We start from the raw sequence: 13,700 nt of genomic DNA, 5'->3' as shown, positions 1-13,700 counted from the left end.
GATCCAGGAACAGCAGGGGTCCTCCAGAGTCCTGTGCCCAGTGCTGTAGCTGGTCAGTGCCCATCTAGCCTGACTGCTGAATGCTCTGAAATCACCCACCTCACTTCTGCAATAGGATATGTTTCAAGGAGGCAGCTTCTCTTAAGCAGGAACAGATAGAAAGGCCCCCTCCCCTTCTCTGGTCCATTCCATGGGAGCCCATGGGAGGTGGTGTCCTTGACTCAGGACATGGAGTACTCACACCCTTCGGGTGTCGGCATCCTAGTGGGTGGCAGTGGGAATAGTGAGAAACATGGAGGAAACTGACGAAGAGCATTTATTGAGCTCCTAGTTATGTGGCACACTATGCTCGGCAGTCTGCACACAGAATCTCAAATTCTCCAACAGCCTCACAGGTAGGAGTGTATCCTCATTTTGCAGATAAGATCGATGCTCAGAGCTTTGCCAGGGGCCATACATTGGTAGATCCCAACTCAAATGGAGGCCAACCTAATCAGGCAGTGGTACCCCCCATGCCACAGGGGCAGGCAGGCAAAGAAGGGAGGCAAGTGAGTGTGTACTGTAAGGACCAAGAAAGTCCCTCTAAAGCCAGCAGCCAGGCCTCAGCTCCCCTGACAGGCTCCACACCAGACCGTGAGTCCAGTGCCCAGATCTGACCTTTCCAGAGAGGCCGGAAACCTGGAGTTCTAGGTGAGATGTCCAGATTTCTAAACAACTTTTAGGCCAAACCACATGCGCCAACCCCATGGGTTTCCAATCTGCCATTTCTAACAACCCTTCTTAACCTGAAAGCCAAGTCTGTTTCTCAGCCACAGCAGGTACAAGGTAGTAACACATCATCAGGCAGAGTCACCCAGACCAAGAAGAGCCCTCATCTTAATCCCTCCAAAACTAGGCTCCTCAGAAGGGCAATGCCCCCCTTACCTCATGATCTATTCATGAACCTATGTCCAGGTACATCAAGCCCAAATCTGGATAATGCCAGCTCTGTGTGGCTCTTGCAGCCCACTTACTAAGGGTTTAAGCATGTGGGAGGCTTGGGTTCAAATCCCAGCTCAGGCACTTACTGGCTACATGACTCTGGGTGAGTTATTCCACCTCTCTGTATCTGTACTTCCTCCTTGTAAGACAGGGATACAGTATCTATCTCACAGGGTGTGGGGAGTTTTAAAAGAGTTGACACATATGAAGCACTTGGAACCTGGCATATACTAAAAGGCTAAGCAAGTGTCTGCAGTTATCATTACCTCGTGGCATCAGGCCTGGGACTGGTCTATGGCATCAGCCTGTGAGCTGGATCCAGGCTCACCTTCCTCCCGTCCCCTCCCAGCTCTTCCCCCCTACTGTGGGTCCCCCTCTCTTACAGTCAACACTCTGTTAAAGAGATGGAAAAATCGGAGGTGGATTTCCCTTTGGGTTTCAGGCAACCAACTGACTCAGAAGGAAGATATTTCAACTCAGACCTGTCAGAGATCAAACACAATTCTTGGAACCTCCTCTTTCCTTGAAAATCTCTGGGGTTTTCTTCACACCACCTCCCCCCTCCCAACAAGAACAGAAGCAGGGTGGTTGGAGAGAGAAGGAAAATGTGCGTTTCCTGTCTCAGGCCGGCTGCAGATAACTGATCTCTGGTTTCCGGAAACTTCATCTCTGAGCATTTATTTCTGCCGAGAAAAAGTCCTCCCAGGGAGTTTGAGGAGGCAGGAGGGCATGGAGTGAGTGGTGGTGGCAAGAACGTTAGATCCTCAACTGCCCTTTCTGCCTGCTCCCACTTCTGATTTCAACTTGGATATCATTTTCTCCTAGGTCTAATTGTGTGCCCATCCTCCACATGCCCCCAGCACTCCAGATTCCACCATCACCCCTCTAAAAGCGTTGCCTGAGAACTACCTGCCCAGTTCCTCTCTCATTCTGCTGTAAGATCTCCAAGACACAAACCACCTACTCAATGACCACCCCAGTATACAGCCCAGTACTGGGCAGAGCACTCCACATTTATTCAATAAATAAATCAATGAATCAATGGCCCCTGCTTCGACACACACACCCCAACACTCAAAGACTGAAAGCACTTATAAGAACATTGGCAAGCAGGTTCTTCAAAGAACCAGCAAACATCAGTCTTGCTTTTTTCACACTTTTCTAATTCTTCTCGGTTACATAAAATCAGTGGGAGAGGTGGCAGAAAAGACTGTTTAGGGAGAGTGTGCTCTTGTGTCAGCTTAGCTGCTCTTGTTCTTGGAAGGGCTCATGAAACCCAAACCTCTAACCCAGACTTTTCCTCGCTGCCAAAATGCAGCCACATCAGGGGTGAGGCTGGAGAGGGGTGTTAAAAACCGCACTAACACCCCATTGAGAATTCAAAACAAGAAGACTCCCAGAATCAGCCCGAACTCTGGCAGATGGAAATTTAGGGAAGCCAGAATTGTTGATTGGGATGCCTGGGGATTTAGCTAGAATACGTCTATTCTGAAAGGTCATTTTCTTGCCTTGAGAGATATTACAATGTGCAAGCTGTGCCTAAGGCAGTTTCAATGGGAAATATTCTGATTTATGGTTTTCATATCAATAGACCATGTGCCCTGACTTTTACATGGGACAACATTGGCCGCTATATTGAGGTGAGACGTTTCTGATGGATTTTTTTTTTTTTTGAGACAAATTCTCTCTCTGTCCCCCAGGCTGGAGTGCAGTGTGGCACGATCTTGGCTCACTGCAACCTCTGTCTCCCAGGTTCAAGCGATTCTCCTGCCTCAGCCTCCCAAAAATAGCTGGCTGGGATTACAGGCGCACACCACCACACCTGGCTAATTTTTGTATTTTTAGTAGAGTCAGGGTTTTGCCATGCTGGCCAGGCTGGTCTCAAACTCCTGACCTCAGGTGATCCACCTGCCTTGGCCTCTCAAAGTTCTGGGACTACGGGGTGAGCCACCGCACCTGGCCTGACAGATTTATTCTTAAAGGGTGGAGAAACCTGTCTTTGGATCCAATACTGTGTTTTAGAATTTGACCATCCTCAGTCCCAAGTTCTTCCTCATAATTACTTCAAAGTCTATCTGCTAACATTTAAACTAGAGTCTATTTTCAAAGACATGTCTTAAATGGAAAGGCCACTTATAATAATGACTGCATTACAAGACTCAGTTACATAAAACATCTACCTTCCTAGTCATCCTTTGCATTGGCTACTATTTAAATAAATTTGTATTTCCCAGGTACATACTAACCCTACAGATAGAAAGTGGCCAGGGTGGCTGGGATGAGTGACCCAAAGAATCTGATTTAGGCTTTGACTCCAGACTTGGATACTCCATCAAAAAGTTTATTACCATTTGGGTTCAGTAGAATGGAGAACTGAAAAAGTCATTTCCTCTTGTTCTTTTCTCTGTGGAAAGGAGAAACAGCTGGCTCTCCTTGTAAGAACTTAGCCTCACCCAAACTTCAACTCCAGGCACCACTCTTTGAGGATTCTGTCCCAGACTCTCTAGTTCAAAGTGAGCTCACCTCATCCAAACTGCTGGAGAAGTTTTTTCTGAGACAGGATCTTGCTCTGTTGCCCAGGCTGGAGTGCAGTATGCATCATCACGCCCAGCTTTTCATTTTATTTGTATTTTTTGTAGAAACTGGGGTTTCATTAAAGCTGGTCTCAAACACTTGGACTCAAGCGATCCTCCTGCCTCAGCCTCCCAAAGAGCTGGGATTACAGGTGGGAGCATGACACCTGGCCTGGAGAGGGTTATACACAGCACTATTCATGGGGCAATTCATCACGTTGGCCTGTGTTCTCATGCCTCGTACTCACCCATTATGTATCACTTTACTATTTCTTAACTGTTCACAGTAATAAGAATCATATGGCTAATATTTATTAAACCTTTATTAAATTACCAGACCCTGTGCTAAGGATGCTTTTAGCATTATCTCAATCCTCCCAATGACCATGAGGTTAGTGCTATTATTATCCTCATTTCATAAAAGACAAAACAGACTTAGAAAAATGAAGTCACTTGCCCAAGGTCACACAGCTAGCCCAGTCTTGATCCCTGGTCTCTCTGAATCCAGAAACTGCTCTCTTTGGTTAAAAATTTCCATTAAACTTAGCACAAACCCTCTTGCATATAACAGGACTGTCACAACTGAAAAATGGGCTGAAGAACTGAGGCTTCTCTGTTTGCACATCTCTTTCTGACATCCCTACCATCCTGTGCCCCACCCTCTCCACCAATCCTGCCTCAACCATGTTGAGTTGATAGATCTGTTCTGCAAACAAGTCTTCCAAAAGGAAAATCAAAACCCAAGTGTCTACTTGAATGTAACCAGAGAGCAGCCTATTTCAGTGTTTAAGATGCTGGAATAAAGGCAGCTGTGTTTACCTCCACACAGGCACTTGCTGATGTGGGAGGGCTAGCTTCATTCAACTTGAGACATCCAGGTCACGTCAATGCCTGGGAGATACTTCACATCTTCAGTTATATTCTGTGTCTCTGATGTGAAAGCCTATCTCCATCCTCTGGCCTTCTCTAAAATAGTGTGGCTAGAATGTAAGGTACAGAAACATGGGGAAGGAAAGCTCTGATTTTTTTTTTAAGCTTTGGCTTATTCTGGGCTCAATTTATATCTGGGCACATAGTTTCAAACCTCAACCATATGTATTTCCCACTAGTCTGAAAAATCAGTCAAGACACAGAGGAACATCTAGCAGCCCTAACCCCAACACTGGAAAGGAGGGCTGGGGGAGTGTCATGCTCCTCATGATGAGTGTTAGTCACAGGATGTGATAAGAGATGGGCTCACAGAGACCTCGGGAAAGGAACGATGGCAAAAAAAAAAAGATCAGGAACCATCAACTTAATCCTTCTCCCAACATAAGACCTCTCTTTCTGACACTACAATATAGTGCAAAGAACAAAGGTGTTGCTATGAGTCCCCCCAAAATTTATATGTCAAAGCCTTAACCCCCAATTTGATGGGATTTGGAGATGGGCCTTTGAGAGATACTTGGGTTTAGATGAGGTCATAAGAGTAGGGCCCACATGATTAGTGTCCTTATAAGGGACATCAGAGAGCTCTCTCTCCCCATCAAGTACAAAAGAGGTCATGTGTACACACAGTACACATCTTCCAGTCGGGAAGAGGGCCATCACCAGGAATGTAAATGACCGGCACCTTGATCTTGGACTTCCCAGCCTCCAGGACATTGAGAAATAAATTTTTGTTGTTTAAGTCATCCAGTCTATGGTATTTGTTATGGCAGCCCCGGTAGACTACTACAGGTATCTAAGTCAGAAAGGAGTTCAAATCCTTTTGCCACTGCTCATTGCTGTGTGACTTTTATTTAATTTCTCTAATGCATGATTTTCTCATTTATCAACTACTCATAACAAAGGGCTGTGGGGAGGGTTGAATGTGTTGATGGAGGAGAAAGGCACCTAGCATTTTCTGGGACTCAACACTCTGAAGCAGCAATGCCTCCCCAATGCATGCAATGGCTGGTGTTATAAAAGGGCAGCTTCTTGGCCATATTCAATCCACAGATGTGTTTTGTTTGGCCTGCACCAATGTTTGGGGAAATTTGGATTATTTACCAACATTTAAAAGTCAGAAAATTTACATAAACATCTCAATTTCCAGTTCTTCTTGAAAAATAAGAGATGTATCAGTGGGCCTGTGTTCTACCAGGGTAATCCTCTTTTGACAGAGGGCACGATCTCACTGCCAGGCATCCACGCCAGCTTCACCCATTCAGAAGACCTGCTTGGTACCTGAAGTCTTTTGAGTTAGCAGCTCCTGGGCTACCTGGGCTGGTGAAATCTGGCTTGACCTGTACCTCTCCCAGCTGTCCACAAACAGAGCTTTTAAGTACAATTTCAGGATCAGCCTCCCAAAGTGAAAAACAATTAGCACATTCCTGAGTCACTGTTTTATTTATTTATACTTCTATTGTGAACTAAAGAACCTCATGGAAAGGCCAGAATTTTAGTTCTTGGAGAAAAATGAAACTTCGCAACGTGTGTGTTGGCTGACCCCACTTTGCCCCTGTCACTCAACTTCTTGGGGCCTCAGTTTCCTCCTTTGTAAAATGAGGCCTTGGGCTAGATATCTTTTGTCTTTTTCCATATTTATGTAAGTAAGATGTGAAATTCAAGAACATGGATGGAAATTTAATACAATTCTAAAGACTTTAATGAAAGTAGAGCTCTTAAAACACCTCAATGACCTTAATGCAGGCCTTAACTAACAGTAAACAGGAACAGAACAATGGACTTGTTTATTGTTCTGCCCACTCCAGGGTTGGGTCTTTAGCCTTGAAGTTCTGCACTTAACATATCCAGAAACGAATGAATACCAGGACATGAAAAGACCTGATGGAGGCCAGGCACAGTGGCTCACGCCTGTAATCCCAGCACTTTGGGAGGCTGAGGTGGGTGGATCACGAGGTCAGGAGTTCAAGACCAGCCTGACCAAGATGATGAAACCTCGTCTCTACTAAAAATACTAAAATTAGCCAGGCATGGTGGTGGGCACCTGTGATCCCAGCTCAGGAGACTGAGGCAGGGAATTGCTTGATCCCAGGAAGCAGAGGTTGCAGTGAGCCCAGATGGTACCACTGCACTCCAGCCTGGGTAACAGAGCAAGACTCCGTTTAAAAAAAAAAAAAAAAAAAAAAGACCTGATGGATCGATCTCCTGTCCCTAGAAGATCCTGGTGCTCTGAGCCCTGCCTGACTTGCTGCTCTCATTTCACCAAAACATAGACCTAACTGCACAACTACTCAACTTCTGGTGCTCTATGCACATGGATGGGCCTTCTTTTGGTTCCTTGCTCATTGCAACCAGAGGAACTTTGCATGCGCAGTTTCTACCAACTGGAGCCCTGTTCACCTAGGTAATTTCCATGGATGTTTCAGATCACAGCAGCAGCATCACATCCACCATTCCTGGCCTCCTTGACAAAAATCAAGTCATTTTAACATATGCTTTCATCACAGCAGCTGTGTTGGAGTAGCTGTCTTAGTTGCATGTTTACATTTCACATGTGTGGCTAGTTGACTAATGATTCTCTTCCCAATGAATATAAATTCCAGGAGGGCAAGGTCCATGTCTGTCTTTGGTCCTTGCTGTCTCTCCAGTGCCTGGCCAACAGAGACGCACTCAAATGTTTGCTGGTAAGTCACTTAGTAAAAGGAAGAACACAATAAAACCTCAAGCAGTCTGGTTCCAACAACTAAGCTGAATTGCCTATTATGGTGCCTAATGGTTAGGAAGGGCACAATAAATGCTTACAGAATAAATGACAGCTGCCATCTATCAACTCTCCACCCCTTCCCCTACAAAACACACTACATACTGAACAAATGATTCTCTATGGATCAGAAGTCTAGACAGACACAGGTCTCAGAACGCAACAGCCATGAAAGCAGCATAGCTGACAGAAGAAGCAATAAGAATCAAGCAGGAAAAAAAAAAAAAAAACCCTTAAGGCTCCTAAGGCGGTAGCCCCTATGCCCCTGCTCAGGTTTATAGGGGAAAATGGCACCAAGTCTGGCCTGCCACATACCTGATGTTTTCGTTCAGGGCATAGAGCTCGTTGCTTTGCAAGCCACCCCCTTTGAAAACGTTGATCACAGCAGTCTGAACGCTACAGGAAAAGAGAATAACCCCTGGTTAGAGAATCTCCCTTCTTGGGCCATTTCAATAGCAGCTCAGGGCTGAAGGTGTGTGGAGTGACCAGGAAGCTCATAGCACAAACCTGGCCACACTCTCCATCCATCCTCCATTTCCTCAGTGTCCTTGGAGAGAAAGGAAGACCAAAGGCGAAAGGACTCAAAAGCAGCCCCCGCTTTCTTGCAAGCCAGCAGGTCTTCCTCCCTCACCTCGCTGGCGGCCCTGCTGGTGCAGCCACAGTCAAAGGCAGCCAGTGGGATCTGATCGCAGGAAACTGCATGGACCTGGGAGATTCCAAATGGCATTTCCTGCAAGCAGAAGCTGACCCATGCCTGCGGTTCTTTCACAGCCACTGTCTTCACAGGGAAGCTTGGTGGCCTTGAGCTAACATGAACCGGTAAGTCCTTTCCTTTTTAACAGCACTTTCCTTGGAAGAATTTCTCGCAGGCCAGCCTTACAGGCTCCTCACATGTCCACTCGTGTGAGGTGTACCGGCAGTAGAGTTAGTCCCTTGAGAGGCCATATCAGGGCTTACTCCACAGCCTCTGGGACGACAGCCCAGTGTTTCAGCAAAGGAGCTGCTTACAATCTTGTCTATATTAAGGCCCCTGGCCTTTCCTTTAAAGAACAGGGATCCATTTAACACCAAAACATTTTGGAGCCCCCTCTCTCCATCCCTATCATCAGAGTCCTGCTTTCTGTGTCCATTCATTTAAAATATCCATAATGGGCTGGGCACAGTGGCTCACGCCTGTAATCCCAGCACTTTGGGAGGCAGAGGCAGGTGGATCACTTGAGGTCAGGAGTTCGAGACCAGTCTGGCCAACATGGTGAAATCCCGTCTCTACTAAAAATACAAAATCAGTCAGGTGTGGTGGCACGCACTTGTAAACCCAGCTACTTAGGAGGCTGAGGCAGGAGAATCGCTTGAACCTGGGAGGCAGAGATTGCAGTTAGCCAAGATTGCACCACTGCACTCCAGCCTGGGTAACAGAGCAAGATTGTCTCAAGAAAAGAAAAAAGAGAAAAGATCCATAACGATCCAAACTACAAAGAATTCAGTCATGCTTCAAAATAATGATGCATTTAATTACTCCAAACAGTGTCTGCAAAGATTTGAAAAACAGTAGCCCACAAGCATATAAGACATAGTGCTGATTCAGTCTGCTCAATTCTTGGTGCACAAAAGGTTGGCTAGACACCTAACAAAACTCTGTGCCTCCTCTTCCAAGCACCTGTGGCTCACAGGTCTTCATAATCTTGGGTTTATGCCAATCATTTAATTTTTCACAGACATGTTTTATCTTCCCAAGTGGGAAGTAGGTTACTTAAGGTTTCTTATAGAAGCCCACTCTCGGATAGGCTGACAGTTTCAGGTGTGACTAATGAGCATGAATAGTGACCGTAAATTCCAGTGCAACTGTCCCAGTCTGGTAAACTGACTCTAACAGGCCAGAGGCCCTCAGTGGTCTATTTTCTGGCTACTGAAACAAAGAAAGCTAACAGACACGCTGGATATTAAAAAAAACTTGCTCTCTTGGCCAGGTGCAGTAGCTCACACCCATAATCCCAGCGCTTTGGAAGGCCGAGGTGGGAGTGATCCCTTGAGGCCAGGAGTTCAAGGCCAGCCTGGGCAGTATAGTGAGACCCCATCTCTTTAAAAAAAAATTGCTTTTTTAATTAGCTGGGTGTGGTGGCATGTGCCTGTAGTCCCAGCTACTCGGGAGGCTGGGGCAGGAGGATCGCCCGAGCCCAGAAGTTTGAGGCTGCAGTGAACTATAATTGCACGACTGCACTCCAGCCTGGGTGACAGAGTGAGACCCTGTCTCTTAAAAAAGGAAAAAAAGAAAATTTGCTCTCGTCATTATTTACCCCCATAATCACGGCCTTCCCAGAATCAGCAGAAGCTCAGTCAGCCCCCGGATGCCTCCCTCCCTGCCATGGCCCTTGGCAGCCCTCCACCCCACATCCTGCAGCCTCCTTCACCTGTTCCAGGCTGAGCTGGAGCTCAGCTGCAGAGCCTGCCGAGCTGCTTGGAATCGGGGAAGGTCGCTGAGCACGGGGGAGCTCATGAAGCGCGGTCTAGGCCTGCGGAAGGAGCCCATCTTGTGGAACTCGACGGGCAGAATGGGAGCGAAGCCGCGGGTCATAAGTCCTGGTGACAGTTCAGCTTCACCTCTAGGACCAGAAGGTTCCGAATGCCCTCGGAAAGGGCTTCTCCAGGGGCTGCCTTCAGGCCCTCAGGCTTTCTTAAAACCACAAACGTAGCCAACACCTGAAAAGAGAGGGAAGCTTTTATTGAGAACTCCTGGCCTGAGAACACCTCTTAGAGGAAGTTGGCTGGGACTTTCCAGCCTAACTACCCCGAAAACAACTGCGGGACCCAGCAATAGCATCTATTCCCTGGCAGGTTCCCATTCACAAGTTTGCACAGGGCTCTTTTCGGTTGTAACAGTGTGGTCACCCTCAAGTGGGAAGACAGTGACAATGGGGCCAGCCTAAGGCCAGTCCTGCAGAAAAATGATTTCTAAGCTGTGCTAGACTCTGGTTCCAATATGCAGCCATCAGTTTGAGCACTGCCTGGGTTCCTGTGGCCCACGATGTTGTGCAGTAAGAGATGGATTTTTAAAAAATGTCTCAAGGAGGACACAAGAGCTCCTCATCCTGGCATTGATGACCATCCATGATATGCCCTTACCAAGCCAGTCTGCATATATTGCTCAGTTTTTCTCAAAGTATCAGTGACTCTTCACTCAAGCACATCTCACCTTCCCTTACCTGCTGTTCCTTCACTCATTTCATCAGGACACACTCACTGAGTGTTTGCTATTTATTAACCACTGTGAGTTGCAGAACATCCAAAGATTTCTAAGACCAAATCCCTGCTCTCAGGGTACTCAGCCTATGGAGAAGATAACAGTCTTTTCAAGTATTCACTCATGCAATAAATATTTATTGAGCAGCTACTATGCATAGCCACTCAGGCACTGGGAGATATAAGATGGCTCCAGAGGCCCTGGTGCCCTGCCCCGTGGAGCTCGCAACCAGCAGGCACTCTTCTATGTCATGCACAGTCCTTCCCCCACACTTTTGCTCGTACCAACTACTCCTCTTGCCCAGAATTCTCTTCCTTTTTCCCTCTGCTTATTTAAACCCAACTCGCCCTGCAGGGTTGGGTTCAAGGACACTGTCCCCTTGTAGCAGTTGCTGGGAGACTTCATGGCTTCGCGGTTAAAGGCAGTGGCTTCAGGTTTGAGTCTTAACTTGGCCACTCCCAAGTTGTGTGACTTTGAACACACTGAGTCTGAAGTCCTCAGCTGTTACTAATGCCCACTTTCCAGGACTGGAGAGATGAAATGAGATCATGTGACATGGCTGGCAGAATGGCGGAGCCATGGGCCTCAAGGACTGGCTATTTCCATTCAGATGAATTTCTTTCTTTCCTTTACACCTTTGGACCTGTAATTTCAGTCTCTTATTCTTTAGTGACTCTAAAGTCTAAATGAATGACTTAAAAGGCGAGAATTAGAGTTCAGCAGAGTGAAGGACAAAAGGAAACACCACGAATCTCATAGTCACTTTTTACTTGACGGTTTAGTAGGTTTAGCCCAGAAGTGTTTTCACTGCCATCTCTCTCACCAGCTAACTCTGCTATGTCCCAAAAACTAATGATGCAAGAAAAAGATATTCTAGCCTTAAGTCAACCTTCAGGTTGCCAGGGGAGAAGATTTTTGCAGCTCCAGCTGGTTAGCACTTGAAGAAGGAGGAACCGAAGTCTCACCTCCAAATCAAACATGCTGTTGTGGTCAGAAGAGTGAGTTAAGCCACTCAGATGGGCATGGAGGCAAGCCATCGAGAGGGCACGGGAGGTGTTAGCAGCTATCTGCAGGCAACAGGCATAGCAACAAGGAACTTGTAATACGAAGAGGCAGAAAAGAAATGGCTTGTCCTGTCTCTTAACTTTTTTCTTTTAAGGAAAGCAGACTTATGTCCTGTTTTCCTGTACAGTCTTTGCCCCTTCACCCCCTGCTCAGAATGAGTTCAACAGTTTTGTTAAACTTTATTAACAAAAGAAGCATAACAGGCTGTCAAGTTTCAGAAGGCCTCAGCAGCTTCATAAATGCCACTGCAACGTGGAAAGATCTACACAAACCAAAAAATGAGGTGATGAAGAAATAAAGCCACAGAAGGTCCTTCCATATCCTTAAATTGGCTAGCTTTGGGATTTAACTCACCCAGTAAAGGTCACACTACTAAGACAGGATCCATTTCGCTGCCATTCTTCAAATGGACCTGCTAAATGCAATTCACCTGTGTAATTACAGGATATTAACTCCCTTTATGAGGATCTTAAACGAGTTAATGGAGCTGCCTCTCATTCCATGGCACTGGTACAGGGAAGTAGAAAAGTGAGCAGAATGGATCGTTCCAGGTGTTTACCCACCATCTTCCTGCCGAAACATCCACTTCTCCAGGAAACTGTAAGACACTGAGGACCGCAGGCTGGCTCCTGTCCCCGTCCACTTCTCAGTTAGTGTTCCCAGGCTGCCTAGTCCAGCAAAGCGCCTGGGCAGCCACAACCACGCACTCAGCCTCTCTTAAATAAGGGTCATTTTCAGCCTACGACTATGGCTCCCGCGGACTCAGATAAACTGCACAGTCACACACAACGAGTTGCCACTGACTCATTTTTCTCCTCCCGAATCCGCCACTCTCAATCCTGACAGCTGAAGAGAATGTGAAGCTGTCTTTGTCTCCACTGTTCCTACTGCCGGGCAGAGCCAAGAGACCTCCCCAGAGCAGCACAGGGAGGAAGGAGGAGGCCGTTGGGAGCATTGACAAGAGTGGCCTAAAGGGAAACGCTGATACACCCTGGGTTCACCTGCTACAGCGCTGGCCCGGCAGGCGCGGGCCTGTCCTGACCTATATCTGACAAGTCAGAAAATGACAGAACAGATGGGGCCTCGGAGTGGGGCCAGTCCAGGTCCCATTGACAGATGACAAAGGTATAGCAAAGAAGCAAAGAAACACATCCAAGGTGCTCGAGGCAGGAAGAGAGCCAGGACTGTGAGAGCTATTCCCCGACACCTGTTTGAGCATGTTCCCCAGCTCCCACCTAGGCCATTCTGCAAATTCCTTGAAGACAGGCATCGGGCTTTATTCACCTCTATATCCTCAAGACTAAGCTCACTGCTTAGCCTGGAATCCCAGCACTTTGGGAGGCCGAGGTGGGTGGATCACCTGAGGTCAGGAGTTCGAGACCAGCCTGACCAACATGGAGAAACCCCATCTCTACTAAAAATACAAAATGAGCCGGGCATGGGGGCGCATGCCTTTAATCCCGGCGACTCGGGGGGCTGAGGCAGGAGAATCGCTTGAACCTGAGAGGCAGAGGTTGCGGTGATCCGAGATCGTGCCATTGCACTATAGCCTGGGCAACAAGAGCGAAACTCGTCTCAAAAAAAAACAAAAAAAGAAAGAAAAGAAAGAAAAAGATGAAGGAAAAGAATTAAGAAGGCATTGGCTAGGCCAGGCACAGTCACTCACGTCTGTAATCCCGGCCAAGGCAGGCGGATCACCTGAGGTCAGGAGTTCGAGATCAGCCTGGTCAATATGGCAAAACCCTGTCTCTATTAAAAGTACAAAAATTAGCCGGGCATGGTGGTGCGTGCCTGTAGTCTCAGCTGCTCAGGAGGCTGAGGCAGGAGAATCGCTTGAATCCGAGAGGTGGAGGTTGCAGTGAGCCAAGATGGCACCACTGCACTCCAGCCTGGGCAACAAAGCAAGGCTTCTCTCTCAAAAAAAAAAAAAAAAAAAAAAAAAAAAAAGGCATCGGCTGCCTGGCTGACATGAAGCCAAGCATTGTCACAATACATAAACTTACTCAACCCTCACAAAATACCAGTTGAGCTGGGCACAGTGGCTCATGCCTGTAGTCCCAGCACTTTGGGAGGCCAAGATGGGTAGATCTCGAGGGCAGGAGTTCGAAATCAGACTGACCAACACGGTGAAACCCTGTCTCGACTAAAAATACAA

The 13,700-nt window shown here is 47.1% G+C and overlaps 1 protein-coding gene across 4 annotated transcripts in view; it reads right to left on the bottom strand.

Annotated features, from left to right (window-relative positions):
• PRR5L (proline rich 5 like) overlaps window positions 1-13,700 on the bottom strand; it is a 168,917-nt gene that overhangs the window by 54,269 nt on the left and 100,948 nt on the right. For 3 of the 4 annotated variants that reach the window (NM_001160167.2, NM_024841.5, NM_001160169.1), the window contains 2 exons: window positions 9,651-9,939; window positions 7,558-7,638 (listed from right to left, as the gene is read on the bottom strand). The exons of the other annotated variant lie outside the window; for it this stretch is intronic. In NM_001160167.2, the coding sequence (NP_001153639.1) occupies window positions 7,558-7,638; window positions 9,651-9,814 (245 nt within the window). In that variant the 5' untranslated portion in view covers window positions 9,815-9,939. Of the gene's footprint in view, window positions 1-7,557; window positions 7,639-9,650; window positions 9,940-13,700 lie in introns of those variants that run through there. 4 annotated transcript variants of the gene reach the window in all.

This window comes from Homo sapiens, chromosome 11, assembly GCF_000001405.40.
Source record: "Homo sapiens chromosome 11, GRCh38.p14 Primary Assembly".
Lineage (NCBI taxonomy): Eukaryota > Metazoa > Chordata > Mammalia > Primates > Hominidae > Homo > Homo sapiens.
The sequence above is the reverse complement of the archived record's forward strand: the minus strand, read 5'-3'. Positions and strand labels throughout refer to the sequence as shown.